The sequence below is a fragment of the Homo sapiens genome, chromosome 3, assembly GCF_000001405.40.
Source record: "Homo sapiens chromosome 3, GRCh38.p14 Primary Assembly".
NCBI lineage: Eukaryota > Metazoa > Chordata > Mammalia > Primates > Hominidae > Homo > Homo sapiens.
In genome coordinates, this window is record NC_000003.12 from 187,053,492 (window position 1) to 187,081,461 (window position 27,970).

At 44.0% G+C, this 27,970-nt stretch overlaps 1 protein-coding gene across 4 annotated transcripts in view, besides 4 other annotated features; it reads left to right on the forward strand.

The window, feature by feature from the left end:
- The window catches only part of ST6GAL1 (ST6 beta-galactoside alpha-2,6-sialyltransferase 1), a 148,028-nt gene extending 122,966 nt beyond the window's left edge, over positions 1-25,062 (forward strand). For all 4 annotated transcript variants that reach the window (NM_173216.2, NM_173217.2, NM_003032.3 and 1 more), the window contains 3 exons: positions 19,358-19,456; positions 20,668-20,842; positions 22,071-25,062. In NM_173216.2, coding sequence (NP_775323.1) covers positions 19,358-19,456; positions 20,668-20,842; positions 22,071-22,312 — 516 coding nt within the window. In that variant the 3' untranslated portion in view covers positions 22,313-25,062. The remainder of the gene's footprint in view (positions 1-19,357; positions 19,457-20,667; positions 20,843-22,070) is intronic.
- Positions 12,143-12,322: an enhancer, noted in NCBI's record as "active region_20963". NCBI's record gives its function as "activates an Ori minimal core promoter by ATAC-STARR-seq in GM12878 lymphoblastoid cells {active_cell/tissue: GM12878}" and the evidence as "EXISTENCE:reporter gene assay evidence [ECO:0000049][PMID:35858748]".
- Positions 13,270-13,319: a silencer, noted in NCBI's record as "silent region_14993". NCBI's record gives its function as "represses an Ori minimal core promoter by ATAC-STARR-seq in GM12878 lymphoblastoid cells {active_cell/tissue: GM12878}" and the evidence as "EXISTENCE:reporter gene assay evidence [ECO:0000049][PMID:35858748]".
- Positions 18,617-19,576: an enhancer, noted in NCBI's record as "NANOG-H3K27ac-H3K4me1 hESC enhancer chr3:186789896-186790855 (GRCh37/hg19 assembly coordinates)". NCBI's record gives its function as "activates a minimal SCP1, AML or CMV promoter by ChIP-STARR-seq in primed H9 embryonic stem cells {active_cell/tissue: H9 hESC(primed)}" and the evidence as "EXISTENCE:reporter gene assay evidence [ECO:0000049][PMID:30033119]".
- Positions 25,838-25,947: an enhancer, noted in NCBI's record as "active region_20964". NCBI's record gives its function as "activates an Ori minimal core promoter by ATAC-STARR-seq in GM12878 lymphoblastoid cells {active_cell/tissue: GM12878}" and the evidence as "EXISTENCE:reporter gene assay evidence [ECO:0000049][PMID:35858748]".

The window sequence follows — 27,970 nt, forward strand, 5'->3', positions numbered from 1 at the left end:
GATCCAGTTTCAGCTTTCTACATATGGCTAGCCAGTTTTCCCAGCACCATTTATTAAATAGGGAATCCTTTCCCCATTTCTTGTTTTTGTCAGGTTTGTCAAAGATCAGATGGTTGTAGATGTGTGGTATTATTTCTGAGGCCTCTGTTCTGTTCTATTCGTCTATATATCTGTTTTGGTACCAGTACCATGCTGTTTCGGTTACTGTAGCCTTATAGTATAGTTTGAAGTCAAGTAGCATGATGCCTCCAGCTTTGTTCTTTTGGATTAGGATTGTCTTGGCAATGCAGGCTCTTTTTTGGTTGCATATGAACTTTAAAGTAGTTTTTTCCAATTCTGTGAAGAATGTCATTGGTAGCTTGATGGGGATGGCATTGAATCTATAAATTACCTTGGGCAGTATGGCCCTTTCCACAGTATTGATTCTTCCTAACCATGAGCATGGAATGTTCTTCCATTTGTTTGTGTCCTCTTTTATTTTGTTGAGCAGTGGTTTGTAGTTCTTGTTGAAGAGGACCTTCACATCCCTTGTAAGTTGGATGCCTAGGTATTTTATTCTCTTTGTAGCAATTGTGAATGAGAGTTCACTCATGATTTGGCTCTCTGTTTGTCTGTTATTGGTGTATAGGAATGCTTGTGATGTTTGCACATTGATTTTGTATCCTGAGACTTTGCTGAAGTTGCTTATCAGCTTGAGGAGATTTTGAGCTGAGATGATGGGTTTTTCTAAATATACAATCATGTCATCTGCAAACAGGGACAGTTCGACTTCCTCTTTTCCTAATTGAATACCCTTTATTTCTTTCTCTTGCCTGATTGCCCTGGCCAGAACTTCCAACACTATGTTGAATAGGAGTGGTAAGAGAGGGCATCCCTGTCTTGTGCTAGTTTTCAAAGGGAATGCTTCAGTTTTTGCCCATTCAGTATGATATTGGCTGTGGGTTTGTCATAAATAGCTTTTATTATTTTGAGATACATTCCATCAATACCTAGTTCATTGAGAGTTTTTAGCATGAAGGGCTGTTGTATTTTGTTGAAGGTCTTTTCTGCATCTATTGAGATAATCATGTGGTTTTTGTCATTGTTCTGTTTATGTGATGGATTATGTTTACTGATTTGCATATGTTGAACCAGCCTTGCATTCCAGGGATGAAGCTGACTTAATCGTGGTGGATAAGCTTTTTGATGCACTGCTGGATTTGGTTTGCCAGTATTTTATTGAGGATTTTTGCATCGATGTTCATCAGGGATATTGGCCTAAAATTCTCTTTTTTTGTTTTGTCTCTGCTAGACTTTGGTATCAGGATGATACTTGCCTCATAAAATGAATTAGGGAGGATTCCCTCTTTTTGTATTGATTGGAATAGTTTCAGAAGGATTGATACAAAGAGGTTTGTACCTCTGCTAGAATTTGGCTGTGAATCCGTCTGGTCCTGGACTTTTTTTGGTTGGTTAGGCTATTAGTTATTGCCTCAATTTCAGAGCCTGTTATTGGTCTATTCAGAGATTCAACTTCTTCCTGGTTTAGTCTTGGGAGGGTGTATGTGTCCAGGAATTTATCCATTTCTTCTAGATTTTCTAGTTTATTTGCATAGAGGTGTTTATAGTATTCTCTGATGGTAGTTTGTATTTCTGTGGGATCAGTGGTGATATCCCAATTTATCGTTTTTTATTGCGTCTATTTGATTCTTCTCTCTTTTCTTCTTTATTAGTCTTGCTAGCGGTTTATCAATTTTGTTGATCTTTTCAAAAAAAAAAAAACAGCTCCTGGATTCATTGATTTTTTTGAAGAGTTTTTTGTGTCTCTATCTCCTTCAGTTCTGCTCTGATCTTAGTTATTTCTTGCCTTCTGCTAGCTTTTGAATTTGTTTACTCTTGCTTCTCTAGTTCTTTTAATTGTGATGTTAGGGTGTTGATTTTAGATCTTTTCTGCTTTCTCTTGTGGGCATTTAGTGCTATAAATTTCCCTCTACACATGGCTTTAAATGTGTCCCAGACATTCTGGTATGTTGTGTCTTTGTTCTCATTGGTTTCAAAGAACATCTTTATTTCTGCCTTCATTTCGTTATGTCCCCAGTAGTCATTCAGGAGCAGGTTGTTCAGTTTCCATGTAGTTGTGCAGTTTTGAGTGAGTTTCTTAATCCCGAGTTCTAATTTGATTGCGCTGTGGTCTGAGAGACAGTTTGTTATGATTTCTCTTCTTTTATGTTTGCTGAGGAGTGCTTTACTTCCAACTATGTGGTCAGTTTTACAATAAGTGCGATGTGGTGCTGAGACAAATGTATATTCTGTTGATTTGGGGTGGAGAGTTCTGTAGATGTCTATTAGGTCTGCTTGGTGCAGAGCTGAGTTCAAGTCCTGGATATCCTTGTTAAGTTTCTGTCTCGTTGATCCGTCTAATATTGACAGTGGGGTGTTGAAGTCTCCTATTATTATTGTGTGGGAGTCTAAGTCTCTTTGTAGGTCTCTGAGGACTTGCTTTATGAATCTGGATGCTCCTGTATTGGGTGCATATTTATTTAGGATAGTTAGCTCTTCTTGTTCAATCGATCCCTTTACCATTATGTAATGGCCTTCTTTATCTCTTTTGATCTTTGTTGGTTTAAAGTCTGTTTTATCAGAGACTAGGATTGCAACCCCTGCTTTTTTTTGCTTTCCATTTGCTTGGTAGATCTTCCTCCATCCCTTTATTTTGAGCCTATGTGTGTCTCTGCATGTGAGATGGGTCTCCTGAATACAGCACACTGATGGGTCTTGACTCTATCCAATTTGCCAGCCTGTATCTTTCAACTGGGGCATTTAGCCCATTTACATTTAAGGTTAATATTATGTGTGCATTTGATCCTGTCATTATGATGTTAGCTGGTTATTTTGCCCATTAGCTGATGTAGTTTATTCCTAGCATTGATGGTTTTTACAATGTAGCATGTTTTTGCAGTGGCTGGTACCAGTTATTCCTTTCCATGTTTAGTGCTTCCTTCAGGAGCTCTTGTAAGGCAGGCCTGGTGGTGACAAAATCTCTCAGCATTTGCTTGTCTGTAAAGGATTTTATTTCTCCTTCACATATGAAGGTTAGTTTGGCTGGACATGAAATTCTGGGTTGAAAATTCTTTTCTTTAAGAAAGTTGAATCTTGGCCCCTACTCTCTTCTGGCTTGTAGAGTTTCTGCTGAGAGATCTGCTGTTAGTCTGATGGGCTTCCCTTTGTGGGTAACCTGATGTTTCTCTCTGGCTGCCCTTAATATTTTTTCCTTCATTTCAACCTTGGTGAATCTGACAATTATGTGTCTTGGGGTTGCTCTTCTCGAGGAGTATCTTTGTGGTGTTCTCTGTATTTCCTGAATTTGAATGTTGGCCTGCCTTACTAGGTTGGGGAAGTTCTCCTGGGTAATATCCTGAAGAGTGTTTTCCAACTTGGATCCATTTTCCCTGTCACTTTCAGGTACACCAGTGAAACGTAGATTTGGTCTTTTCACATAGTCCCATATTTCTTGGAGGCTTTGTTTGTTTCTTTTTACTCTTTTTTCTCTAAACTTCTCTTTTTGTTTTATTTCATTGATTTGATCTTCAATCACTGATACCCTTTCTTCCACTTGATCGCATTGGCTATTGAAGCTTGTGCATGCATCTCGTAGTTCTTAAGCCATGGTTTTCAGCTCCATCAGGTCATTTAAGGTCTTCTCTATACTGTTTATTCTAGTTAGCCATTCATCTAATCTTTTTTCAAGGTATTTAGCTTCCTTGCCATGGGTTTGAACATCCTCCTTTAGCTTGGAGAAGTTTGTTATTACTGACCTTCTGAAGCCTACTTCTGTCAGCTCGTGAAAGTCATTCTCCGTCCAGCTTTGTTCTGTTGCTGGCGAGGAGCTGCGATCCTTTGGAGGCAAAGAGGCACTCTGGTTTTTAGAATTTTCAGCTTTTCTGCTCTGGTTTCTCCCCATCTTTGTAGTTTTATCTACCTTTGGTTTTTGATGATGGTTTTGGTGTGGATGTCCTTTCTGGTGATGTTGATGCTATTCCTTTCTGTTTGTTAGTTTTCCTTCTAACAGTCAGGTCCCTCAGCTGCAGGTCTGTTGGAGTTTGCTGGAGGTCCACTCCAGACCCTGTTTGCCTGGGTATCACCAGCAGAGGCTGCAGAACAGCAAATATTGCTGCCTCATTCTTCCTCTGGAAGCTTTGTCCCAGTGGGGCAACTGCCTGTATGAGGTGTCAGTCGGCCCCTACTGGGAGGTGCCTCCCAGTTAGGCTACACGGGGCTCAGGGACCCACTTGAAGAGGCAATCTGTCCGTTCTCCGAGTTCAAACACCGTGCTGGGAGAACCACTGCTCTCTTCAGAGCTGTCAGACAGGGACGTTTAAGTCTGCAGAAGTTTCTGCTGCCTTTTATTCAGCTATGCCCTGCCCCCAGAGGTGGAGTCTACAGAGGCAGCAGGCCTGGCTGACCTGCAGTGGGCTCCACCTACTTCGAGCTTCCAGGGCTGCTTTGTTTACCTACTCAAGCCTCAGCAATGGCAGACGCCCCTCCCCCGCCAGGCTGCTGTCTTGCAGGTCGATCTCAGACTGCTGCACTAGCAGTGAGCAAGGCTCCGTGGTCCTGGGACCCGCTGAGCCAGGCACAGGATATAATCTCCTGGTGTGCCATTTTTTAAGACAGTTGGAAAAGCGCAGTGTTTGGGCGGGAGTGTCCCATTTTTTCAGGTACCGTCTGTCACGACTTCCCTTGGCTAGGAAAGGGAAGTCCCCTGACCCCTTGCGCTTCCTGGGTGAGGTGATGCCCCACCCTGCTTTGGCTCGTCCTCCATGGGTTGCACCCACTGTCCAACCAGTCCCAATGATATGAACCAGGTACGTCAGTTGGAAAAGCAGAAATCACCCGTCTTGTTTGTCGATCGCGCTGGGAGCTGCAGACCAGAGCTGTTCCTATTTGACCATCATAAGAATATTTTTATAACGGGATAGAAATTGAGGAACTTAACTTATTTGTAAGTGGTCACCATCTTGTTTTTTTGTTCTTCCTCTAATACCTTTTAATTTTTTTTTAAGAAAATCACTTTCTATCACCGTCACATCTTCTAGTCACCTCTAGGTGCTTCCAATGCCTGTTTGTTGTTCAAATTTATATTTTGGCTTTTGGTATTACTTTTATTATTATTATTATTATTATTATTTGAGATGGAGTTTCGCTCTGTCACCCAGGCTGGAGTGCAGTGGTGTGATCTTGGCTTACTGCAACCTCCTTTTCCTGGGTTCAAGCGATCCTCTTGCCTCAGCCTCCTGAGTAGCTGGGATTACAGGCATGCACCACCATACCCAGCTAATTTTTGTATCTTTAGTAGAGATGGGGTTTCACCATGTTGGCCCAACTGGTCTTGAACTCCTGACCTCAAGTAACCACCCACCTTGGCCTCCTGAAGTGTTAGTATTACAGGCGTGAGCCATCGTGCCTGGCCTACTTTTATTGTTACTAGAAGAGATAGGATTGAAAGGAATGGACTGGCTAGCAAGAAGCTCTCTGGGGCAAATGACAGTTGAGCTAGACTTTGAAAGATGGGCAGGACTTGGGGAAATAGCAATAGCCGGGCACTCCAGAAAGTGGAATTGGCAAGACAGAGGAGAACAGGAAATGAGGGAGGCGTTACACCACTCCAAGAGTAGTGTAATGATCACTCCCCTATTAGTGATCAGGCTGGAGTGCAGTGGCGTGATCATAGGAAATGAGGGAGACATTCAGATACCCCTGGCTAAGTTGGAGGTGGAGGTGTAGAAGAATTGGCTGGCCTTGCCCCGTAGAGAGAGATGAGGCTGGACCTTCATGGCTGCTTGTGCTCTGGCAAGTGTGGAAATTCAGACAGAGGGTTAGGACCAGCTTTGTCCCTTTCCCTTCTCATGCCTAGTCAGGAACCCTGGAGCTGGAGAGCACTTTAGGGAGCACTAAAACCTCATCTCCACTTCTATATAAGATGCTACCTAAATATCCAGGAGAGATGTTCATTTACTCTTAATTAATTCATTCATTCAACAAATGTATTCAGTATTGAGTAGACTGTGGCAGTCAGTACATAAACTCTATAGTTAGCCTGCTTGGGGTTGAAATCCAGCTCTGTCTCTTACTAGCTGAAGGATCATCAAGTTACTTCTCTCTAAAAAAGGGAGAATAATTCCCTTACAGGGTTGTTGTGAGGTGTAAATAAGAAAAATCTGTGCAAAGCACTTAGAACAATACCTGGCACATGTATCAATAAACGTTAACTGCACTTACTATTGATATTTGCAGACATTGGTAGGGGAGGGTACAATTGTGAGCAAAACAGGCTCAGCCTCTGTTCTTATGATGCAATCAAATAGTTTTACAAATAAATAAATTTGCAAAAAAGAACTAGAGAAGAGAGTGGTCAAGGTACTAGGAGAGCCCTGAAAGGGGAGATTTGAGCTATTCAAGGAGGTCAGAATCCCTAAGTAGGTGGTACTTGGCTGTGTAGAAGGAATGTGTGGATGTTGAAAAGGGTGGGATAAGAGCTTTTCAGGAAGAGGCAACAGCATGGGTACAGTTTTGTGTGGAAGGAAATGGGGGACTGGAAGGACTCAGGAAGAGGTGAGTATATGTGGGACTATGTGGTGAGAGACAAGGCTGAAAGCAAGAAGGAGTCAAGCCATGGTGCTGCACCGAGGCATCTTCTTTTTTCAGTGGGGGTAGGGGGGTTGGCCTGTCACCCGGGCTGGAGTGCAGTGGCGCGATCTCAGCTCACTGCAAACACCACCTCCTGGGTTCAAGCGATTCCCCTGCCTCAGCCTCCCGAGTAGCTGGGATTACAGGCGCCCACAACCATGCCCGACTAATTTTTGTATTTTTAGCAGAGACGAGGTTTCACTGTGTTGGCCAGGTTAGTCTCAAACTCCTGACCTCAGGTGATCCACCTGCCTCAGCCTCCCAAAGTGCTGGGATTACAGGCGTGAGCCACCTCACCCAGCAGGGTGAGACATCTTCTTTATGGCATGATCAGATTTGCATTTTGTAACCATCACTGGCTTTCATCTGAGCAGAGGGGCTGCAGTAGATGAAGACACATAGTTAGGAAGGTCTTACAAGTAGTCTGGGTTAGATACGCTGATAGCTTGCACAAGAGTAGGGGTGAAGGTGAATGTGAGAAAAGAATGTATTTAAGGGCTGCTTGCGATTTGCAGTCAACAGGTTTTAATGTCGCATTAGATGTGAGAAGTAAAGGGAGAGGGGCCAAAGGTGCAGCTCAGTTTCTTTCTTGTGTAACTTGGCAGCTAGAAGTTGAAATTAGAAGTCAGCCCCTTATCCATGGTTTCACTCTCTGCAGTTTCATTTATTTGTGGTCAGCTGCAGGCTGGAAATACTAAATGAAAAATTCCAGAAATAAGCAATTCAGAAGTTTTAAATGACACGTTGTTCTGAGTAGTGGGATGAAATCTTACACATCTTACTTTGTCCCTTCCTCATCACAGGAAGAAGGATGGGTACAGTACAATAAAATATTGAATAAATAAGCAAATTCAATAAAGTAGCAGGATCCGAAGTCAACACCCAAAAAATATTCATTTTTTCTATTATGTGCAATAACAATGAATGATCTAGAAAGGAAATTTAAAAAACAATTCCATTTACAATAGAATAGCATAAAAAAGCATAAAATACTTAGGAATGAATTTAACCAAGGAGTTGAAAGACTTATACAATGAAAACTACAAAATAGTTCTGAAAGAAATTAAAGGAGACACAAAAACCTGGAAGACATCCCATGTTCACAGATTGAAAAAAGTATTGTTAAGATGTCAATAATACCGAATATGATATGCAGATTTAATGCAATCGTTGTGAAAATCCAAAAGATATTTCTTTTTTTGCAGAAATAGAAAAAGCTATCCTAAAATTTATATGAAACCTCAAGGGACCCCGATTAACCAAACAATCCTGAAAAATAAGAATAAAGCTGGAGTTCTCTCACTTCTTGATTTCAAAAAATACATATGTTACAATAATCGAGAGAGTGAGGTACAAAGACAAACATATAAACCATTGGAATAGAATAAAAGTCCAGAAATAAAGTCTTGTATATATGTGTAAATGATTTTTGATGAGTGTGTCAGGATCGTTCAATGAGGAAAAGACAGTCTTTTTAAGAAATGATACTGGGAAAACTGGCTATCCACATGCAAAAGAATAAAGTTGGACCCTTACCTAACACCAAAAATAAAAATTAACTCAAAATGGATCTATGACCTAAATGTAGACCAAAAACTATAAAACTCTTAGAAGACAACATAGGGCAAAAACTTTATGACATCAGATTTGGCAATGATTTCGTCATTATTACACCAAAGGCATACATACGTAACAAAGGAAAAAATATACAAGTTGGACTTTATGAAAATTAAAAATAATTGTATATCAAAAGATACTCTCAACAGAGTAAAAAGACACCACACATAATAGGAGAAAATATTTGCAAGTCATCTATCTGATAAGGGATTAATGTACAGAATATATAGAACACTCTTCAAACAACAATAAAAAAAATCAAATTACCCAATTTAAAAATAGGCAAAGGACTTGAATGGACGTTTCTCCAAGATATACAAATGGTTAGTAAGCACATGAAAAGAGACTCAACTCTTTTTTGCTAGGGAAATGCAACCCAAGAATACAACACAGCACCACCTCACCCCCATTAGGGTGGCTTCTATGATCAGAAATCGGAATCCGTGGGCACTGTTGATGGGAATGGAAAATGGTCAGCCACTGTGGAAAACAGTACGGCAGTGCCTCAAAAACTTAAAAATGGAATTACCGTGTAATCTAATAATCTTATTTATTGGCGTATATGTACAGAAATTGAAAGAAGGGTCTTGAAGAGATATTCATACCCCCATATTCAGACTACTCTTATTCACAATAGCTGGACTGCAGAAGGAACCCAAGTGTCTGTTGATGTTGAATGGATACACAAAAGCTGGTTTATACATACAATAAAATATTATTCTAAAAAAGGAAGAAAATACCGAGATTGGCTACAACATGGATGAACCCTGAAGACATTATGCCAAGTGAAATAAGCCAGTCACACACACACACACACACACACACACACACAAAATACTATATGAATGTGGTTGCCAGGGAATGTGAGGTGGGAGGGGGAATGGGGAGTTACTGTTTAATGAGTATAGAGTTTCAATTTTGCAAGACTGAAAAAGTTTTGGAGATGGTTTGTGGTGATAGTTGCACAACAATACAAATGTACTTAATATCACTGAACTGTACACTTAAAAATGGTTAAGATAGTCAATGTTATGTTATATGTATTTTAATACAATTTTTAAATTGGAAAAAATGTCAGTAGGGGAGACAGTCACAGAAGTACAAACACTGTATGATTCCACTTTATATGGAACACCTGGAGTAGAAACAAAGTAGAATGATGTTTGCCAAGGGCTAGGAGGAGAAAGGAATGTGGAATTGTTGTTTAATGAATACTGTGATTCATTTTGGGAAGCTGAAAAAGTTCTGGAGATGGTGGTGATAGTTACACAACAATAGGAATGTACTAAGCTGAATACTTAAAGTTGCTAAAATGGTCAATTTTATGTTATGTATATTTTAAAAGCTTTCTTTTAAATCAACAGGGAGAAACCAGTTGATAGAGGGAGAAAGTGAATATACTAAAAAGAGGAGAAAATGATTAGTTACCCACAACATGATGGTGGTGGAGCCAAAGCGTAGTGGAGGATGAACCCCAGCAGGCGGGAGTCAGAGGGAAGAAGGTGCGAGTGGTGTAGCTGGAGGCAGTCAGTATTAGAAGGATGAGAGGGCTTCTATTTTCTCTGCAAAGTGGCATGCAAGGCCAAGTCAGAAGGAGGCTGAGGGGGAAAGAGGTTTTAGTAGAGAAGGTTTGAACAAAGAGATTTATAATTGTCATTGAGGTGAGTGGGACCGTCAGTAAACCTGATGAATGGAGTAGGATTTCCAGGCCATGCTGGGCTACTTTGAGGTTGAAGAGAATGAATTTAGAGAGAAACCAATCTCTGTTTGATACATGGATGGTAGGATCTGGAGGTGAGCAGGCAGCAGCAAAGAGGAGAGGGGAGAGGGGAGGAGCCCTCCCTGAGCACTCTCTTGGACTGCGGAGGCTACCTACTCTCTGAGCACTTCTTCGTGATGATTCAGTCTTCCTCACTGTGAAGAACGAAACCCCAGTCCTGCAAAGATTTGAAACTGTATTTAAGGCCAAAGTAAGGTTGCCTGGGAATTAAGAGTACTGGAGTCAGGCAGGCTTTGATCAGATCCCTCCCCCAACACTTCCTGTGTGAGTGACTTCAGCAAGTTGCTTTACTTTACCTTTCTGAGCCTCATTTCCCTTACTTGTAACACAGAAATATGAATAGTTACTATCCAGGGTTTTTTTTTAGGATCAAAGGAGTTACTATGTGTGGAGCATGTCACCCAGAGGCTGGTATGCAGCAAGTGCTTTGTAAATAGTAGCGATGGGCACTACTGAAACCTGAATGTCTGCCTCTGCCTGTTTGCGAATGACTCCACCTTCCCAAATCCCAACAGGGAAGGTGAGTCAGCTTGAGACCACTTGAGAGGCATCTAGCAGAAGGGAGGCAAAACTTCTGTTAAAGGATAATTTTTAGGGAAAAAAAGGTAAGATGATGACTCTCATACAGATATTAAAAATGAATTCATCATGAAGATTTTATTTTACTCGTATGATGGAACCAGGCAGATATTACAACTGGTTCAAAGGAAAAGTCAAAGCAACACAAATTTGGAGTAAAGGAGTTGAACTAGTTTTTCTGTGAGATAAGGCAGGGGGAGGGGAGAAATCAATTGAAACTCTCCTGGGCAGCATCCTGCCCAGTAGGCACATGTATTAGTTGCCTACAATTCACAAAGGGTTGCGAAATAGCTCCCGTGGAATCAGAATCTGACAGGGAGGAAGAGTGTGCTCAGAAAATGCATGGCTTTCTACTGAAGCAGATTTTTTTCCCATTACACTTCTAGATCTCTGTGCACCATTGTGCCAGGGCTGCGAGGAAGGTGGCCCACTTCCCGGGATACACTACCCACCCTCAAGAGAGCCTTTCCTGCTGCTTCTTAGGCAAGTCAGCTCTCTTTTCTCACCTCCTGTAAGCAACACTAAGTATCTGGCTGTTCCTTTCGTACTCGAGTCCTGGCCGCTCCATGACAGCACTTGTGGTGGTACTGAACTGTGATGGACACTTTCTATCATTGCCCTTTCTTACCTTGATATCCTAAAAAGCTGGTGGTCTGTCTTCTCTATCTTTTGTCCTGGTCAGTTATCCTAACTATTTTGTGTCTGTTTCTGTGGATTAGTAAACGGGGTCCCCACCCCCACTCCACAAGGAGAACATCTGGCACCCAGAAGTCACTGAGAGAATAGCTGTTGCTTTGGTAGAATTCTGCCTCTGAGTGGCTTGTTCTTTTCCCAGACGGAGAGGTCTCCTGACAGCAGCTCTCTTCTTTTTCTTTTTTTTTTTTTTTGAGACAGAGTTTTGCTCTTGCGCTCAGGCTGGAGTGCAGTGGTGCACTCTCGGCTCCCTGCTCTGCCTCCTGGGTTCAAGTGATTCCCCTGCCTCGGTCTCCCAAGTAGCTGAGATTACAGGCATGCACCACCATGCCCAGCTAATTTTTTGTATTTTTAGTAGAGACAGGGTTTTGCCATGTTTGCCAGACTAGTCTCAAACTCCTGACCTCAGGTGATCCACCTGCCTCAGCCTCCCAAAGTGCTGGGATTACAGGCATGAGCCACTGCGCCTGGCTTTAGCAGCTCTCTTCTAAAGCCATCTGGACCCACATTTGTTCAGCTCCCCTCCCTTGGCCATGATGAAGGCATGCAAAACAAAAAAGGCACTTTTCTTATTGAGAAGGTGGCTTTTTATAGAGAATGGTGTCATACTGTTAGGTTTCAGGCCAGCAGACCTAGTCAGGCATGTGACACTTCTGTGCCAGGTGTGGCTATGAGAGTCAACAGGAAAAATGATATATGTAAATGGACAGGTCTTTAAATAAATGCAGTTTTGACTATAAGAGTAAGAAGGTTTCTGTGAGACTCAACTCAGTACCTCCTGTACCCTGTGGGCCTGAGAGAGGAGACAATGGGACAAGAAGACCCAGTGGCTTCCTTGGAAGCTTTTGTGCTAGCTGGAGAGAGAAGACCTACTTCCTATATGCCTAGCAACAGTCCACACTGACTGGACTGCAACCAGGACATTTCCAGATTACTCAGTGGGGCTTATCTTGAAATAATAGTTGATGCCATTTGTTAAATATATTATATATACCATCTAAGGGTCTTACATGCCTTCTCTCATTTGATCTTCATGGCAAACCCTGTGAGGTATGACCACCAACCACCATTTTACCTCAGAACTCAGGCTCCCAGAGTTTAAGTTGCTCACAGGAGCCCAGAAAGTAAGCGACAGAGGTGGGATTTGGTTCTAGGTGTTTGCCACCAGCACTTTAAATCACCAAAGCTTTCTGGAAGCTCCAACTTTTCTTCTCAAGATACTGAAAGACAGGTATCTGGATGGGTTGGCAGGGCGGGTGGGAGGTGGGCGAGATTTCCATCAACAACGGGTCTAAAACCAGCGATGGTGAGCTGGGTGATTTTGATGGAACCCCTGCCATACAGTCTATTAATATCATAATTGGAGCTAAAATTTAATCATGATGGCAATCATGAGTTCTGGGGCTTCTTGATTTGGGCCAGCAGACACAGTCTCAGTCACTAGTTCTCCGAATCAGAGAAAGGATGCCTTCAGGCTGTGTCTTCACATGGCTTTTCCTCTGTGCGTGGTGGAAAGAGAGAGCTCTGCGGGTCTCTTCTTGTTGTAAGGACACTGGCCCCATTGGATTAGGGCCCCACCACATGACACATTTAATCCTAATTACCTCCCTCACAGCCCTATTTCCAAACAGGGTATTAGTCACATTAGGGATTAGGGCTTCAACATAGGAATTCTGGGGGCACACAATTCAGTCTATAACAGAGGGAAAACAGATTTGAGAAGAAAAAAGTCCAAAATATGCACAGTGGTAATATCTGAAGATGTGCGTGCGTGCGTGTGTGTGTGTGTGTGTGTGTGTGTGTGTTTCTATTCTTGCATTTTCTAACTGTCCCCAGTGAGTATTTGTTACTTTCTAACTGAGAAGGTTACTTTAAACAGTGTCTTGAGCAGCAGCACTCCATGCCCTGGTGTAGCCTTTTCCTGGCAGATGTTCCCCAGGGCTCTGCTGCTCTGCCAATGACTTATTCTCAGCATGAACTCCTCCCCTGCCCCCTAAGAGGATCTCCAAACCCAGGTCACACTCCCCCTGCAGGTAAGTACAGGCGTTTGAGAACAGCTTTATTCTTCCAGGAACAGCTGGTCCCCTCAGCAGGGCCTTACAAGGTGGTTATGTCTAAATAAGGCACCTGAGGCCAGGAGATGTGACATGGTCCATCTAATACCATGGAGTGAGTTAGACACAGAGCAGGACTGGAACCCATGCTTCCAATTCCCCATCCAGTTTTAAGGCAATCTTCTTTTCTTTCTTTCTTTCTTTTTTTTTTTTTTTTTTTTTTTTTTGGAGACAGAGTCTCTGTCACCCAGGCTGGAGTGCAGTGGTGCGATCTTGGCTCACTGCAACCTCTGCCTCCGGGGTTCAAGCGATTCTCCTGCCTCAGCCTTCTGAGTAGCTGAGATTTCAGGTGCCCGCCACCACGCCTGGCTAATTTTTGTATTTTTAGTAGAGACGAGGTTTTACTATGTTGGCCAGGGTGATCTCGAACTCCTGACCTCAAGTGATCTGCCCACCTCAGCTTCCCAAAGTGCTGGGATTACAGGTGTGAGCCACTGCACCTGGCAAGGCAACCTTTTTTTTTTTTTTTTTTTTTGGTAGAAAATCTTTGAACTTCATATAGATGGTGTTAATGTGGGTGAGTTCAGAGCCATGTGTAAAGTTCCAGGAGGGGAGTGCTTGCTGGCTTCTCCCTTATCCCTCAACCAGATCCCAGCCCCAGCCACTTTCTGTTTCTCTTCTCTGGATAAAACTATCATTCATCTTCACCTGTTTCTATTTTCATGGATTACTGTCTCATTCATCTCAAGTAGCTCAAGTGAATGGCTGTTTTTCCATTGGATACAGGAAGACTGAGGGTGACCTGACCCTCATGGTGTGCTTGCTTATTTGAATGTCTGATGGTTTTATGGGTGTAGTCCTGCTGGAGCAGAAAGAATATCTGTTAGGAGCCTGCCTCTGGGCTCTGGTTCTAACTGTGCCACAAACTCATCGTAGCCTTAGACAATTCTCTTGTCTCTCTGGGCCTCAGTTTACCCATCTGGAAAATGATGGGTCTGAATTTAATACCTTGAGTATCATCCAGCTGTGACATACTACAACTCAGGCAAGAAGCAAATTCTCCTGACACTCCATACTCCTATCCAGTGTTCTCTGACGTCCTTCCCCAAGAGCTGTGGTACCCTACCCTGCCCACATTATGTGAGGCATTATAGCACATAGGTTAGAAGTGTGGTCTCTGGGCCGGGTGTGGTGGCTCATGCCTGTAATCCCAACACTTTGGGAGGCCGAGGCAGGTGGATCACGAGGTCAGGAGATCAAGACCATCCTGGCTAACACAGTGAAACCCCATCTCTACTAAAAATACAAAAAATTAGCTGGGTGTGGTGGCACATGTCTGTCGTACCAGCTACTTGGGAGGCTGAGGCAGGAGAATCACTTGAACCTGGGTGGCGGAGGTTGCAGTGAGCCAAGATCGTGCCACTGCACTCCAGCCTGGGCAACAGAGCGAGACTCCATCTCAAAAAAAAAAAAAAAAAAGAAGTGTGGTCTCTGGAGCTAGACCTAAGAATCCAATTCAGACTCTCTTACTTACTGACTGTGTAATTTGGACAAGTTACTTAGCATTTAGCATCTCTATTTCTTTAATCATAAAATGAACATATTAACACTTACTTCCTAGGGCTGTTGTGAAGATAAACTGAGTTGAGGTATGACAGTACCTAGCATGTAGTAAGCATCATTAAATGGTGTCTGTTGTTTTCACATATTGTAAAGAAGAAAGCTTCGTGCATCTCTTGGAATTTCTGAGGACGGTGAAGCCACAGCTGGGAAAGTCTCAGGGAGCCAGGAGTTGCTGGCCTCCTGCTTTGCATACTCAAAATTGCTGGAAAGGGGCTATAGCAGGGGGAGACATTTTTTAAAAATCCCAGTTATTGCTATTCCTCATGAGTATGTATATATCACCTGGCATCAGTACTCTGCATAGAAAGAAGCATAGCTAAAGAAAAGACACTTTGCTTTTAATATAACAGCTGTTTTCAGGGGAATAGGGTGGATGAGGATAGGGAGTACTGGCCCTCTGTCCTCAGGCCTCCCTGTCACCAGCTCAGTCACGTCTATCTTACAAATCCCCATCTAGCAGGAAGCCTGCTCTGCCCTTGGACTATAGACCTGAAGGGCTGTTGTTAAGTTACAACGTTCCCAGTGGAAGGAGGACAGTACTTAAAAGTTACAAGATGTGGGTTCTGTTCTTAGTTCTTATGGCCTGTCAGCCAGGGAACTCCTGGCCAGTAGTCTCATCCTTGAACTTCTTCTTTTTTTTTTTTTTTCTCAAGACGGAGTCTCGCTCTGTCGCCAGGCTAGAGTGCAGTGGCACGATCTTGGCTCACTGCAACCTCTGCCTCCTGAGTTCAAGCTATTCGCCTGCCTCAGCCTTCCAAGTAGCTGGGATTACAGGTGCTTGCCACCACGCCTGGCTAATTTTTGTATTTTTGGTAGAGACAGGGTTTCGCCATGTTGGCCAGGCTGGTCTTGAACTCCTGACCTCAAGTGAGCCCAGCCCTCATCCTTGAACTTCAAATTTCCACCCCACCTTACTCCCACAGGCATATACCAGTTGTTCCTTTTTCTCTGTTCTTATGCAGGAAATGGCCTGAGGTCCAGGAGTCCCCTTGGTCCCCTTTTTCCCTCACTCTCAACATTCAATTAGTCTTCACATCTACAGCCGACAATTGTAACTTCTTTTCTTTACTCCATTATTTCTTAGGTGACAACAGGAGCTTCTTTGTGGTCTTCTTTTTTCTAAAAACACTAATTCAGAACTCTAGCATGTTTAGATCTTCCTTACTTAAAACCCTTTCCTGGTCCCCATAACCTACTGAAGAAATCCTAAGCTCCCTGGCTTGGCCTCTGTCTACATTTCTCTGATCTCTTCCAGCTCTTTCTCTGTATCCTAGCCATACTGAACTACTTGCAATTCCCAAACAGGGTACACACTGTACTAGTTGTTCCTGCAAGAGACAGGAACACACATCCCCCCACACTAGCTTAACAAAACAAAAAATGCATTTCTCTCTCATGCAAAAGAAGTCCAAAAGTAGACATTCCAAACTTAATATGGTGTTCCAGTGTCAGAATCCAAGTTCTTTCTACTTTGTGGGTTTGCCGTTCTCAGCATATGACTTCCACTTTATGGTCCAAAATGACTGCTCAAGCTCCAGCCATCACATCCACATTTCAGCCAGGAGGAAGAAGGAACAAGGAAAGGCATAACCTTGCCTCTAAGGATAGTTCCTGGAAGCCACACTTGCTTACATTCCATTGGCCAGAATTAGTCACCCAGCCATATTTATCTATAAGAGAGGCTATGAAATTTTTTTATTTCAGGGAGTCTATTTTAGGTTGCCATGTGCAAAAGTAAAAACCAGAGGTGTTGGTGGTCAAGGAAGAAATAGCGAATGGATGCTGGGTAACATCTGGCAGTCTCTGCCACACACTCACACATTCAGGGGTTTGCACGTGGTTCCCCGTGTCTCAGACACCCCCTCTCTCATGCTTACAGTCTCTGCTTGGCATCTTCTTTTTTGCCCCCTAACACTTGCTCTTTTTTTTTTTTTTTTTTTTCGAGATGGAGTCTCACTGTTGCCAGGCTGGAGTGCAGTGGTGCAATCTTGGCTCACGGCAACCTCCGCCTCCTGGGTTCAAGTGATTCTCCTGCCTCAGCCTCCCGAGTAGCTGGGACTACAGGCACCCGCCACCATGCCCGGCTAATGTTTGTATTTTCAGTAGAGACGGGGTTTCACCATGTTGGCCAGGATGGTCTCAATCTCTTGACCTTGTGATCCACCCGCCTCGGCCTCCCAAAGTGCTGGGATTACAGGTGTGAGCCACCGCACCCGGCCCAACACTCGCTCACTTTATGGCCATCCTCATACTACCTCTGTTGTTGCACCATCACAGCGTGTTAACCATTGTTCAATTGTCCACCTTTCCCACTACCCTGTGACCTCCTGGAGGGCAGGGACTGTGTCTTTCCTTTGGCTCCTTAGCACCCAGTATAGCTGCACAATCTCCAGCCAAGGTAGACCGACCACCAATATTTCTTGTCTCAAAGATATATTGAGGAAATGAGAGTATATTCTTCAGGCTTCCAGGAACTTCCTTACATCTGTAGGAAGGTATGGGCATGGGGATAGCTCAGTGATTGTAGAGGCTCGTGGCAGATTGCTTGCTATTCTTTGGGTTGCACACAGGCCGTCTCTCTTGCCATAGTTTTTTCCAGATACTGCAGTGACATTGATTAGGTCTCAGCCTTGGCGATGTAGACTGAGGTGGAGAGGGATTATTGTCATGATTCTTGCTTTCGTTTCAGTCAGTTCTTGATTTGATTTCTGCCATTTATTCCTCTCAATTTTTACCTGGGCAACATCATCTCCCGCCTGCTTTTTAAGGTGAATGTTGACAGCTGATTTCATATATTAATTCTGGCTTTCTTAAGAGGGACATGGCTCCCTTCATTCTTAAGCCTTTGGGGCTACTTTTCTTTCTCATTCACTCATGATCTCCATTTGATCCGCAAGACAGCTCATATTTGAGAGAGCAGAGCAAATGTGTTATTCCCATTTCACCGATCAGAAAATGAGGGCCGGCCGGGCGCGGTGGCTCATGCCTGTAATCCCAGCACTTTGGGAGGCTGAGGTGGGCGGATCACGAGGTCAGGAGATCGAGACCATCCTGGCTAACAAGGTGAAACCCCGTCTCTACTAAAAATACAAAAAAACCCCCAAAAAATTAGCCGGGCGTGGTGGCGGGCGTCTGTAGTCCCAACTGCTTGGAGGCTGAGGCAGGAGAATGGCGTGAACCCGGGAGGCGGAGCCTGCAGTGAGCCGAGATCACGCCACTGCACTCCAGCCTGGGCGACACAGGCTGTGTCGCCTTTTTTTGAGACTCCGCCTCAAAAAAAAAAAAAAAAAAAGAAAAAGAAAATGAGGGCCTAGTAAGATTACTCTTATTTGCTCAAGATCATAGGAAAGTTAGTGGCAAAGCCAAGAGTTGATCCTGGATCCTTTTGTATCCAAGACCAGTATCTTTTGCAAATACTTTTCTTTATTTTGATAAATAATTAACATTTACATGCATTATTTTCCCCCAGAATTTGAATTTTTTCTTAGGATAGATTCCTAAACATGGAAGTATTGAGTCAAAGAGTATAAATGTGCTTTAAAAAAAATGCTCTTAATACATTTTGCAGAATTCTTCAAGCAAGGTTGTCACACTCATGTTTAAGGCAGGTATAACTACCCATGTGCAGGCCAGCCCAGGAGCCAGTGTGGTGGGGAGAGGCCATAACCAGCCATTGCTGGTTCCCTCAGCCAGCAGAGGCACACATGAGCTTCTCACCAGCCCGGTGAGGGTCTCCTGTTGGGAGGTGTGCATTTTTGCATGCACTCTGGCCTCTGCACACAAACTGAATATTTCATCTGGTGCTCAACCACAAGCACAGCCATCTGTTCCGTGTTGGAACAGATGTGTTGGACTGTGTTGGCTGTGTTGGACTGTGTTGGCTGTGTTGGACTTCGTGAGAGAGCCTATGTCAGTCTCCATCAGGATGTGTATGTAGTGTACTGGACTCTCTAGGTGATTGAAAGGATTCCAGAGATAATTTTGATTATATGAGTCCCTGACTTCAGACTCCACTCTTGTGACCACCACACAAGCTGTGACTCCAGGAGGCTGGGATGCCGTGCTATTTTCACTGTACCCTTGCCCCCGTAATCTCAAAGCCTGACTGGATGGAACCCTTTCTATTCTATGGCTAGTGGCTTGTGATAAATGTCCTTTCAGGTCAACACAGTGCAGGCTGGTATCTTTACCTTTCTTTCACCGAAGTTAAGTGCTGCACCAGAACTTAGAAGCCTCATGGGGCTCTGGGGCCTCAGGCTGTACCTTGTGCTATGTCAGCTATTACTTCATGTCAAACATTTGCATATGAATGTTCAAGCGACAGCTTATCTCTTTCTTCCTGCAGTTGGTTACCACAGAGAAGCGCTTCCTCAAAGACAGTTTGTACAATGAAGGAATCCTAATTGTATGGGACCCATCTGTATACCACTCAGATATCCCAAAGGTAAGTGGGTGTCCGTGGGAAATAGGGGTTGAGTTTCCTGTCTGTCTACAGATTTTCCTGATTTCCTAGGTTTTTAAAGTCATGGCTGACATTGGCTATTCCTAAAGGCTGGGTATTTGAGTTTTAGGGTACCCCATTTCATCTGGACTAGCAGATTCAGAAGTATTCCTGTCCTATACCAGCTACTCTCTTTGCCGTGCCAGCACTGCCAGGTATTGTCTCCCAGTTATAGTATTTACTGGGATAGTGGCTGGAGTTCCCAGCATCTGGGGTAGATTGTTCATTAATGCAATTATTCGTGATGAGCATCAGCAGAACTCGAGAGTAGTTGCCGTTACTCCTGTAAATAATATTAGCACACTTTTATTTCACACTTCCAATATCCAGAATTCTTCCCATTTCACTCTCATAACAATTTAAGGAGATAGATGGAAGTGTGGTTGTTCCCATTTTACAGATGGGGAAATTGAAATGTGGAGAATGAAAGTCCCCCATTCCAGGACTTGATTTACTAAGCAGAAGGCGCAGATCTGCAACAGCAGCTCTTTCCGGGGAAGGAGACATGAGTGGCAGGCCTGCTGGATTCTAACCTCTCTGGAATAGTCCTCTCACTGTTAATGCATGTCAGTTGACCTCTCCCTGATGCAGGCTGCTGTGGCCTCAGGAGCATGGCCTGAGAAGGGCAGAGAGCACTAATCTTGGGACACTTAACTCTTAAGTTGGATCTACCAATGCCTGACAGGCTCTGGCGACCCCTGGCACCCTCACTATCTGACTTTCAACAGTTTTGCACTGATCTCACTTAGAACTCAAATTTGCCTAGGTCAGGACAAGGACTCTGAACCCATAGATGTCCTATGCTCTAGTTTTCTCCCCTTTAAAAATGAGAGATGGGGCCAGATGGTACGTGGGGCTCTTTTCAGCTCTGAGAGTGTTCCCGGACTCTGATCCTGAAGCCTGAAGCTGATCTTGGGTCGCCAAGCTCAACTCTCCCCCAAAGCACAGGCTATAGGCTAGGCCCCACCCTGCTATCCAGTGAAACCTGCGGCTGGAAGAGAAACCTGTAGTCTGCTGCAAGAAAAGGGCTGTGCCTCAGGAGCAACACTTGTTGATCCTTTCCCCTCCCCATGTCCACTGATGAAGATGACTCCTGGGGGGAGCAGCTCACTGGCCCATTTCTCCCTTGAGAGGACCACTTCTTTCTTTTTCAGTGGTACCAGAATCCGGATTATAATTTCTTTAACAACTACAAGACTTATCGTAAGCTGCACCCCAATCAGCCCTTTTACATCCTCAAGCCCCAGATGCCTTGGGAGCTATGGGACATTCTTCAAGAAATCTCCCCAGAAGAGATTCAGCCAAACCCCCCATCCTCTGGGATGCTTGGTGAGTTCATGTCGGGGAAAAGACCTTGCATGTTTGTTTCTAGAAGAGATGAGCTTTTTTTCTGGGGTCTCATTCAGTCATTCGTTTGTTCATTTGTTCACTAAACAATTGCTAGGATTCTGCTCTGCTTGTAGACCATGCCAAGTTCTATCTAAAATACAGAGGGAAATCAGATAGAATCCTTTTTCCTGAGGGCATCTATTGGGGAGGTCAATCAGATGTCTGAGGCAATATTCAATTTGTGCCAGAAGGGAGAGACAACCTGGTGTCATAGGAGAGAGGACACCTTCTAGCTGGACAGTTGCTTATAGCCTCATGGAGGAAGTAGTGTTCGGTAGGCTTTGGAGAGGGGAGAATTTGGCAGAGGAAGATGGAGGGAAGGGAAGCTATGAACAGGGGAGGGAGGTGGGAAAATGAGGAGCGGGGCTGCACCTCAGACGAGGGGAGCAAGGCACTTTTCTCAGGTGTACAATTTAAGGGCGTACCCCTTAAAAACTCAGTCATCAAGATAAATAATATTTCACTACAGTATCTTCAGAAAACACAATTAATGTAAAAATTATGATGAGTGAAATATCAAGTATTTAAATAAAGATAGGATCAGTAACAGTGCTGTGCAGAGTTTATTGGAACAATGCTGGCCAGGGGCCCCCTTCTTGGATTTTCTCTACATCTCATCATTCAGACTGTGGAGTGCTCCTGTTCCAGCTGTCCCTTTGCCCAGCTAAGGGAAGAAAAGTCTTCCCTCCCCAACACTGTTTCATGCAAATGCTATAAGGAAAAATCTGCTCCCAAATAGCACCATCCAAGAGGTTCTGCAGGATGTCACAGTGCTAGAAAGTGCTAACTACACATGATGCCACTGTCTCCTCAATCAGCTCAGTAATCTTGTCCTCTTTCTCCAAATAAATTATTCCATGGATACATTCATTGGCTGATTGATGGAGTCATTTAATCTACTAGCATTTAGGGAGGATCTATTATTCACCAGGCCCTGGCCTAGGTGCTGGGGATTCAAAGGTGTATAACCCTCACACAGCCCTGCATCCTAAGGAACACTGCTGGGCTTGGCTTGCTGAAACTTAGATTGGGAATCACAGTCATAAATAGAAACTCCAGAGGGAAAGCTCTCCAAATTTGGGGTCATGAGCTGCTGAACCCACTGGGCAGAGCTCTGGGGTGCTGGGGTGGGTTGTCAGGCATGACTCACCTCTGCTCCCCTCTCCAGGTATCATCATCATGATGACGCTGTGTGACCAGGTGGATATTTATGAGTTCCTCCCATCCAAGCGCAAGACTGACGTGTGCTACTACTACCAGAAGTTCTTCGATAGTGCCTGCACGATGGGTGCCTACCACCCGCTGCTCTATGAGAAGAATTTGGTGAAGCATCTCAACCAGGGCACAGATGAGGACATCTACCTGCTTGGAAAAGCCACACTGCCTGGCTTCCGGACCATTCACTGCTAAGCACAGGCTCCTCACTCTTCTCCATCAGGCATTAAATGAATGGTCTCTTGGCCACCCCAGCCTGGGAAGAACATTTTCCTGAACAATTCCAGCCTGCTCCTTTTACTCTAGGGGCCTCTGTCAGCAAGACCATGGGGACTTCAAGAGCCTGTGGTCAGGAAATCAGGTCCAGCCTTCCCTGTAGCCAGACAGTTTATGAGCCCAGAGCCTCCTGCCACACACATGCACACATATCTAGCATTCTTTCCAGACAGCATCCTCCCCGCCTTCCACCTTGGTAGATGCAAGGTCTATCTCTCCCATCAGGGCTGCCAAAGCTGGGCTTTGTTTTTCCCAGCAGAATGATGCCATTCTCACAAACCAATGCTCTATATTGCTTGAAGTCTGCATCTAAATATTGATTTCACGTTTTAAAGAAATTCTCTTAAATTACAATTGTGCCCAATGCAGGGTGGCTCTGGGGGGCAAGTAGGTGGTACAGGGGATTGGAAACATGCTCCGCGCCTCCAGAGAAAAGTTGCTCCCGAGGTCCATGCCCCTGGAACGTGTTCCTATCACTCTGGCTGGTTGGGCTGGTCCTTAGACTGGGTGCTTATGATTAAAGGGTCTTGGTTAGCCCACTTTCCCTCTCCATGTGGAGATGGAAGGTAGAGAAGGATACAGTGTCTATCCTCAAGTTGCTACGGTTCAGTGAGAGAGGCAGACATCTGAACAGGCAGGTAGGATTCAGTGTGCTCAGTGCACTGGGGATTTGGAGAGAGATGGGCTTGCTCTCTCTGTGCACCCAGGAGGGCCACGCACTTAAAACTGTGTTTGTGGATCAGAGAAGGCTTTATAGCACAGGGGGCATTCAGATGAGTCTTAGAGGAAGAGAAGAAACATGGCAAGCAGATTACATCTGAGCCGTTTGAATTGTGTTTTTCTTTCTTCCCATGTTTATTTTCTAAGATCTACCTGAACTTAGAGACTCAAGATATTTTTTTAGGAAACCTCCTACCCATGTCTGAGGTAGCAAGTGCAGCCTCACGACAGATACCAGGCAATCCAGAGCCACAAAACGTGATTCCTCCAGGCTCTGCCTGGCCTGACCCTGTCCTGTCAGCTGGGTTTACATACCAGTCCCATTCTTCCTTTTCAATACCTACCCCCAAATCTTCTCCTAACCACCATCTGTTTTTTTTTTTTAAAGCATTTTTTGCTTTAAAAGCATCCTGACCCCAATTTCTTTGAGCTCACGGGCCTTTTGCTGAAGGTCTCTCAGGGTGTAGTGGTGTGGCTCTCTGGACTTAACGTCACTCTCAGAGGTCAGAACCTTGGAGATCAGAACTGATTCTCACCAGGTGTGAGAGGTGTGGTAGCAGATTGCAATGCTCTGCACCTCTTCCTTGCAAGTGAGCAACTTCAGGCTCTCTGGGCAGAGGCTGGCCCACTGTAGTTTGCAGACATGCTCTCCAGATGGTTTTACTAAGTCCCCTCTCCCTGATAGGGAATCCTGCTGGACCAGCGCAGCCCTGGTGTGGAGAGGTTAAAAGACTTGCACAGGATCACCAAGTCATGCTGTAGAGCCAGGATTCCTAGACCCAGGGCTCTGCACTCTCAAGGCTGGCCCCATGTGCTCAAGGGGATCTAATGTTTGGGCTCCAAACTAACCATCTCGGAGCTGGGCTCCTCATTTACTGCCAAACCCTCAGCTTATGTAGCTAGAAAGGGCCCTGGAGTGAGAAAGCCTGGATTTTCAAATTGATGCTCCCCTACTGACTAGCTGTGCCACTCTGGGCAAATGCTCTTCCTTGAGCCTGTTTCCACACCTGTAAAGTGGGGATGATGATCCTATCTCACTGCTTTTGTGAGGATTACAGGAAAGCACCTGTCCTGGCTCTGTACCTGGCACGTAGTAGGTGCTCAGTTCATGCTGGTTTCCTTCCTGCCTTTAGTAGGGACCTGCTCTGTGCTCACACCTCGGCTGCATGCACCCTGCTGTGACGGAGGCTAGTGTGGAAGAGGTCCTGTCCTCAGGGAATTAACTGTCTTATTGGGAGACAACAACTGTCCTCCTTGGAACACCCAAGAAACCATGCAAAGCAGTGGACAACACAGAACACGCCCTCCTCCTCGCTGCCTGCAGCTCCAATCTGATTCTGCTTGGGAATGGGCGGAGCACGTGGGCTGCTTAACTGCTGTATAGGACAAGCCCCTTACCCCTCTCTGGGCCCATGAATTCCTGGCTTGGTTTATGTTCTGATTTGACACACTGATTTTAATCTTCGAATCATGACACTGAGTGCAGAGGAGGTGGCATTCCGACAGCAGGACATACATGTTGGTGTGAAGACTGGGACGACACTGGGTAGAATCTAGTTTTTAATTATTATTAATATAAAGGATCAAATTAATTTAAATATGATTCTGAAGTCTACAGAACTTTTAGTTCTGTGCTGTCTATGTGGACACTTTGGTAAAATGCAAATTATGATATGGACGTTATCATTGGTCTGGTGAGATGTTTCATATTTGTGACAGTTAATTTAAAAATTATGAGTTAATGCTGCCTGTGTCTATGGGGTTCTGTCTTCTTTGATAGCCATCTATTCATCTGGATCATGGGACCCTCTCTAATCCTTCCACCAATCAAATAAGCTATTGCTATTGGTTTGGAGTTGAGATATCAGTCTCGGAAACTTCTGAAAAATGCTAATAATTACCCAAGGATTATGTCAAATTTTAAAATAAATGTGTGTGTGTTTCTTTAAGCTGCTTCTCTCTTCTTATTTGCTAAATGAACAACTGCTGATTGCCAACTTTTATCTCCAAAGAGGACACAACTGAGATCCTGAACCCCCCAGTCCTTACCCACTGGCTCCTCTAGCCTTAGACTTACTCCTCAGTACTCCAGGAAAAGAAATGTGAACTTTACTGGAAGGATCACCTCTTTGAAATATTCACTGGTTTACTGATTTTTTTATTTTTATTTTTTGTTCTTGCCTGGATTCACATAACTAACCTGTTGCATCAAAGAAGAGATGGAGTCGGGCAGAAAGCAGAACATAAGGAAGATCCTTCCCTCGGTTTCCAAAACTCTAAAATCCTTAAATGAATGATGTCTTAAAAGGATTTAAAATGTTTGGACACAAATCTTGAGAAGGAGCATGAGTTAGGGGAGAGAGGATAATTCCTTTCTCCTGTGAACTGCCCACCCCCTTGTTACAGGTTGAATTGTGTCCCCCCAAGATTTGGATGTCTGAAGTCCTAACCCCCAGTACCTCAGATTATGACCTTATTTGGAAATAGGGTCATTGCAGATGTAATTAGTGACGATGATGAGGTCATATTGGAATAGGTTGGGCCCCTACTCCAATATGACTTGTGTCCTTTTGAAATGTGGAAATTTGGAGACAGGCATGCACACAGGGAGAATACCATGAAGGCTGAGCCCACAGAGATACCAAGCACCTGCAACCTCCACTCCCACCCGACTAGTAGGGTTCTCACTGACAAAGCCCGACTTTCAGTGTCTTAGATACTGTTCTTAGAAAGTGCTTCATGGCCTGGCAGTGTGCTGAACCCATACCAGTGCCTGGCCTCTAGAGCCATGAGCAAGATGGGGAGAAAGGACACACAGGACTCAGAGACTGCCACCTCCTTTCTAGTCCCAGGTCCTTGTCCTCTGGATGTCCTTGGTTTCCACTTCCTTCATGACCCCCGGCGCAGCCCTCTGGGATGTGTTGTAATGTGACAGAAAGTGGCTCTAACACCGCTTTCCACTCTCACTTAGGCCAGGAACACTCGCTCAGGAATCTCATGCTATGGGATGGGATAATGGCATCAGCTCAGGAGAGAGGAAAAGGCCTTCTCAGTACCCCTGAAATCCCACCACCCAAAGCATTGATGTCCCCATCCAGGTGTTCTCAGGATTAATCAGAAAACAAGTTTATAATGGGAAGAGGAATTCTCTTTGACCCAGTGAATACACATTAAACAGCCATCATGTGCCTGGCACTGGGAACAGGATGAAAACCCACAGCACCTGCCTCCCAAGGAAATGGAGGGCCACAGGAATGGGCCTGCCCTGCCTGTGGATAGGTATTATCATACTAATGTGAGATTAGTGGTGTTATTTTCTGGAAAGCTAAACCTGGATAACACTGCTATTGTTAGGCACACATCCATAACTACTTAGAAGAAAAATAGTATGCAAATGCCAAATATGAAGACGTGATAATACAAGGTAAAGTAAAATAATGGTGTTATAGAGGAGATAGTCATTTTAACGGGGAGATTTGGGGAGTCTTGAGGATGGGCAAGATTCTTTTTTCTTTAAGTAAAATGCAACTTCTGATTATGAAAGTAATACATATTCAGTGTCAAAAGAACAGAAAATTTTAAAAAGAGAAAAAGAATCATCTTCCACATCCATGATCCAAAGGTAACCTCTACCAGCAGTTTCCAATCCTACTTTAAAAACAATATTTTTATACAAATAAAAACCCATCTTTTTATTTAAAAAATACATTATAAAAATGCCTGTGGATCATTAAGGACTTTTTGAAAACAGGCTTTGTAATGGTTGAATGATATTCTATCATAAGGATGGGTTACAGTTTACACACAACTTGTTCCTAGAGTTGAGCATGCAGTTTATTTACATTTGTTTTCTCCAAAATACCAAATATATAAGCACATGTTCTCATCTCTGATTGTATCCTGAGGTGAAAAGTGGGTTCATGGGGTGGGCTGGGTACTATTTTCCCCTCAGGAATTGTGGCTGGGAGACTCCGAATCATATTGGGGGAACTTCTGGAACAGTCTTACAGAATTAGAAACAGACAGACCAGGGGTGAAACCGAAGGCAGCATTATAGGATTGCTGGGAACTCTGTTACTTTCTCTGGTTAATTATTTTGCTATTTTTTGGTGTTGTTTCTCCATACAAATTAGTCATAAGGACCTCCAATATGAAGATCTGTATTCGTTATATATGGCTAACAAATGACTTCAAAATTTAGTAGCTTAAAACAAAAGTATATTAGTTTGCTAAAGCTGCCATTACAAAATGCCACCGACCGTGTGGCTTAAGCAACAGAAATTTGTTTTCTCGCAGATCTGGAGGCTGGAAGTCCAAAGTCAAATCGTCATCAGGATTGGTTTCTCCCGAGGCCTCTCTTGTTGGTTTGCAGATGGCCACCCGCTTCCTGTGTCCTCATACGGCTTCTCCTCTGTACACATGATCCCTGGTTGTCTCTGTGTCCAAACCTCCTCTTAGAAGGAGACCAGTCAAATTGCGTTAGGACCCACCCTAACGACCTCATTTTAAATTAATCACCTCTTTAAAGGCCATCCCTCCAAATACAGTCACATGCTGAGGATTGCGGATTAGGACTTCAGCATATGAATTCTGACGGGACACAATTGAGCTCATAACAAGCAATAAACATTATTTTCTCACACAGTTACTATGAGTCAGAAATTTACGAGTCATTTAGCTAGCTACTTCTGGCTTGGGGTCTCAAAGATTGCAGCCAAGATGGCAGCTAGGGCTTCATTATCATCAGAACTTAGTATAGTATATATCCTATATTTCATTCTTTTCTTTTTTCTTTTTTTTCTTTTTTTTTTTTTTTTTTGAGACAGTCTCGCTCTGTCACCAGGCTGGAGTGCGTCC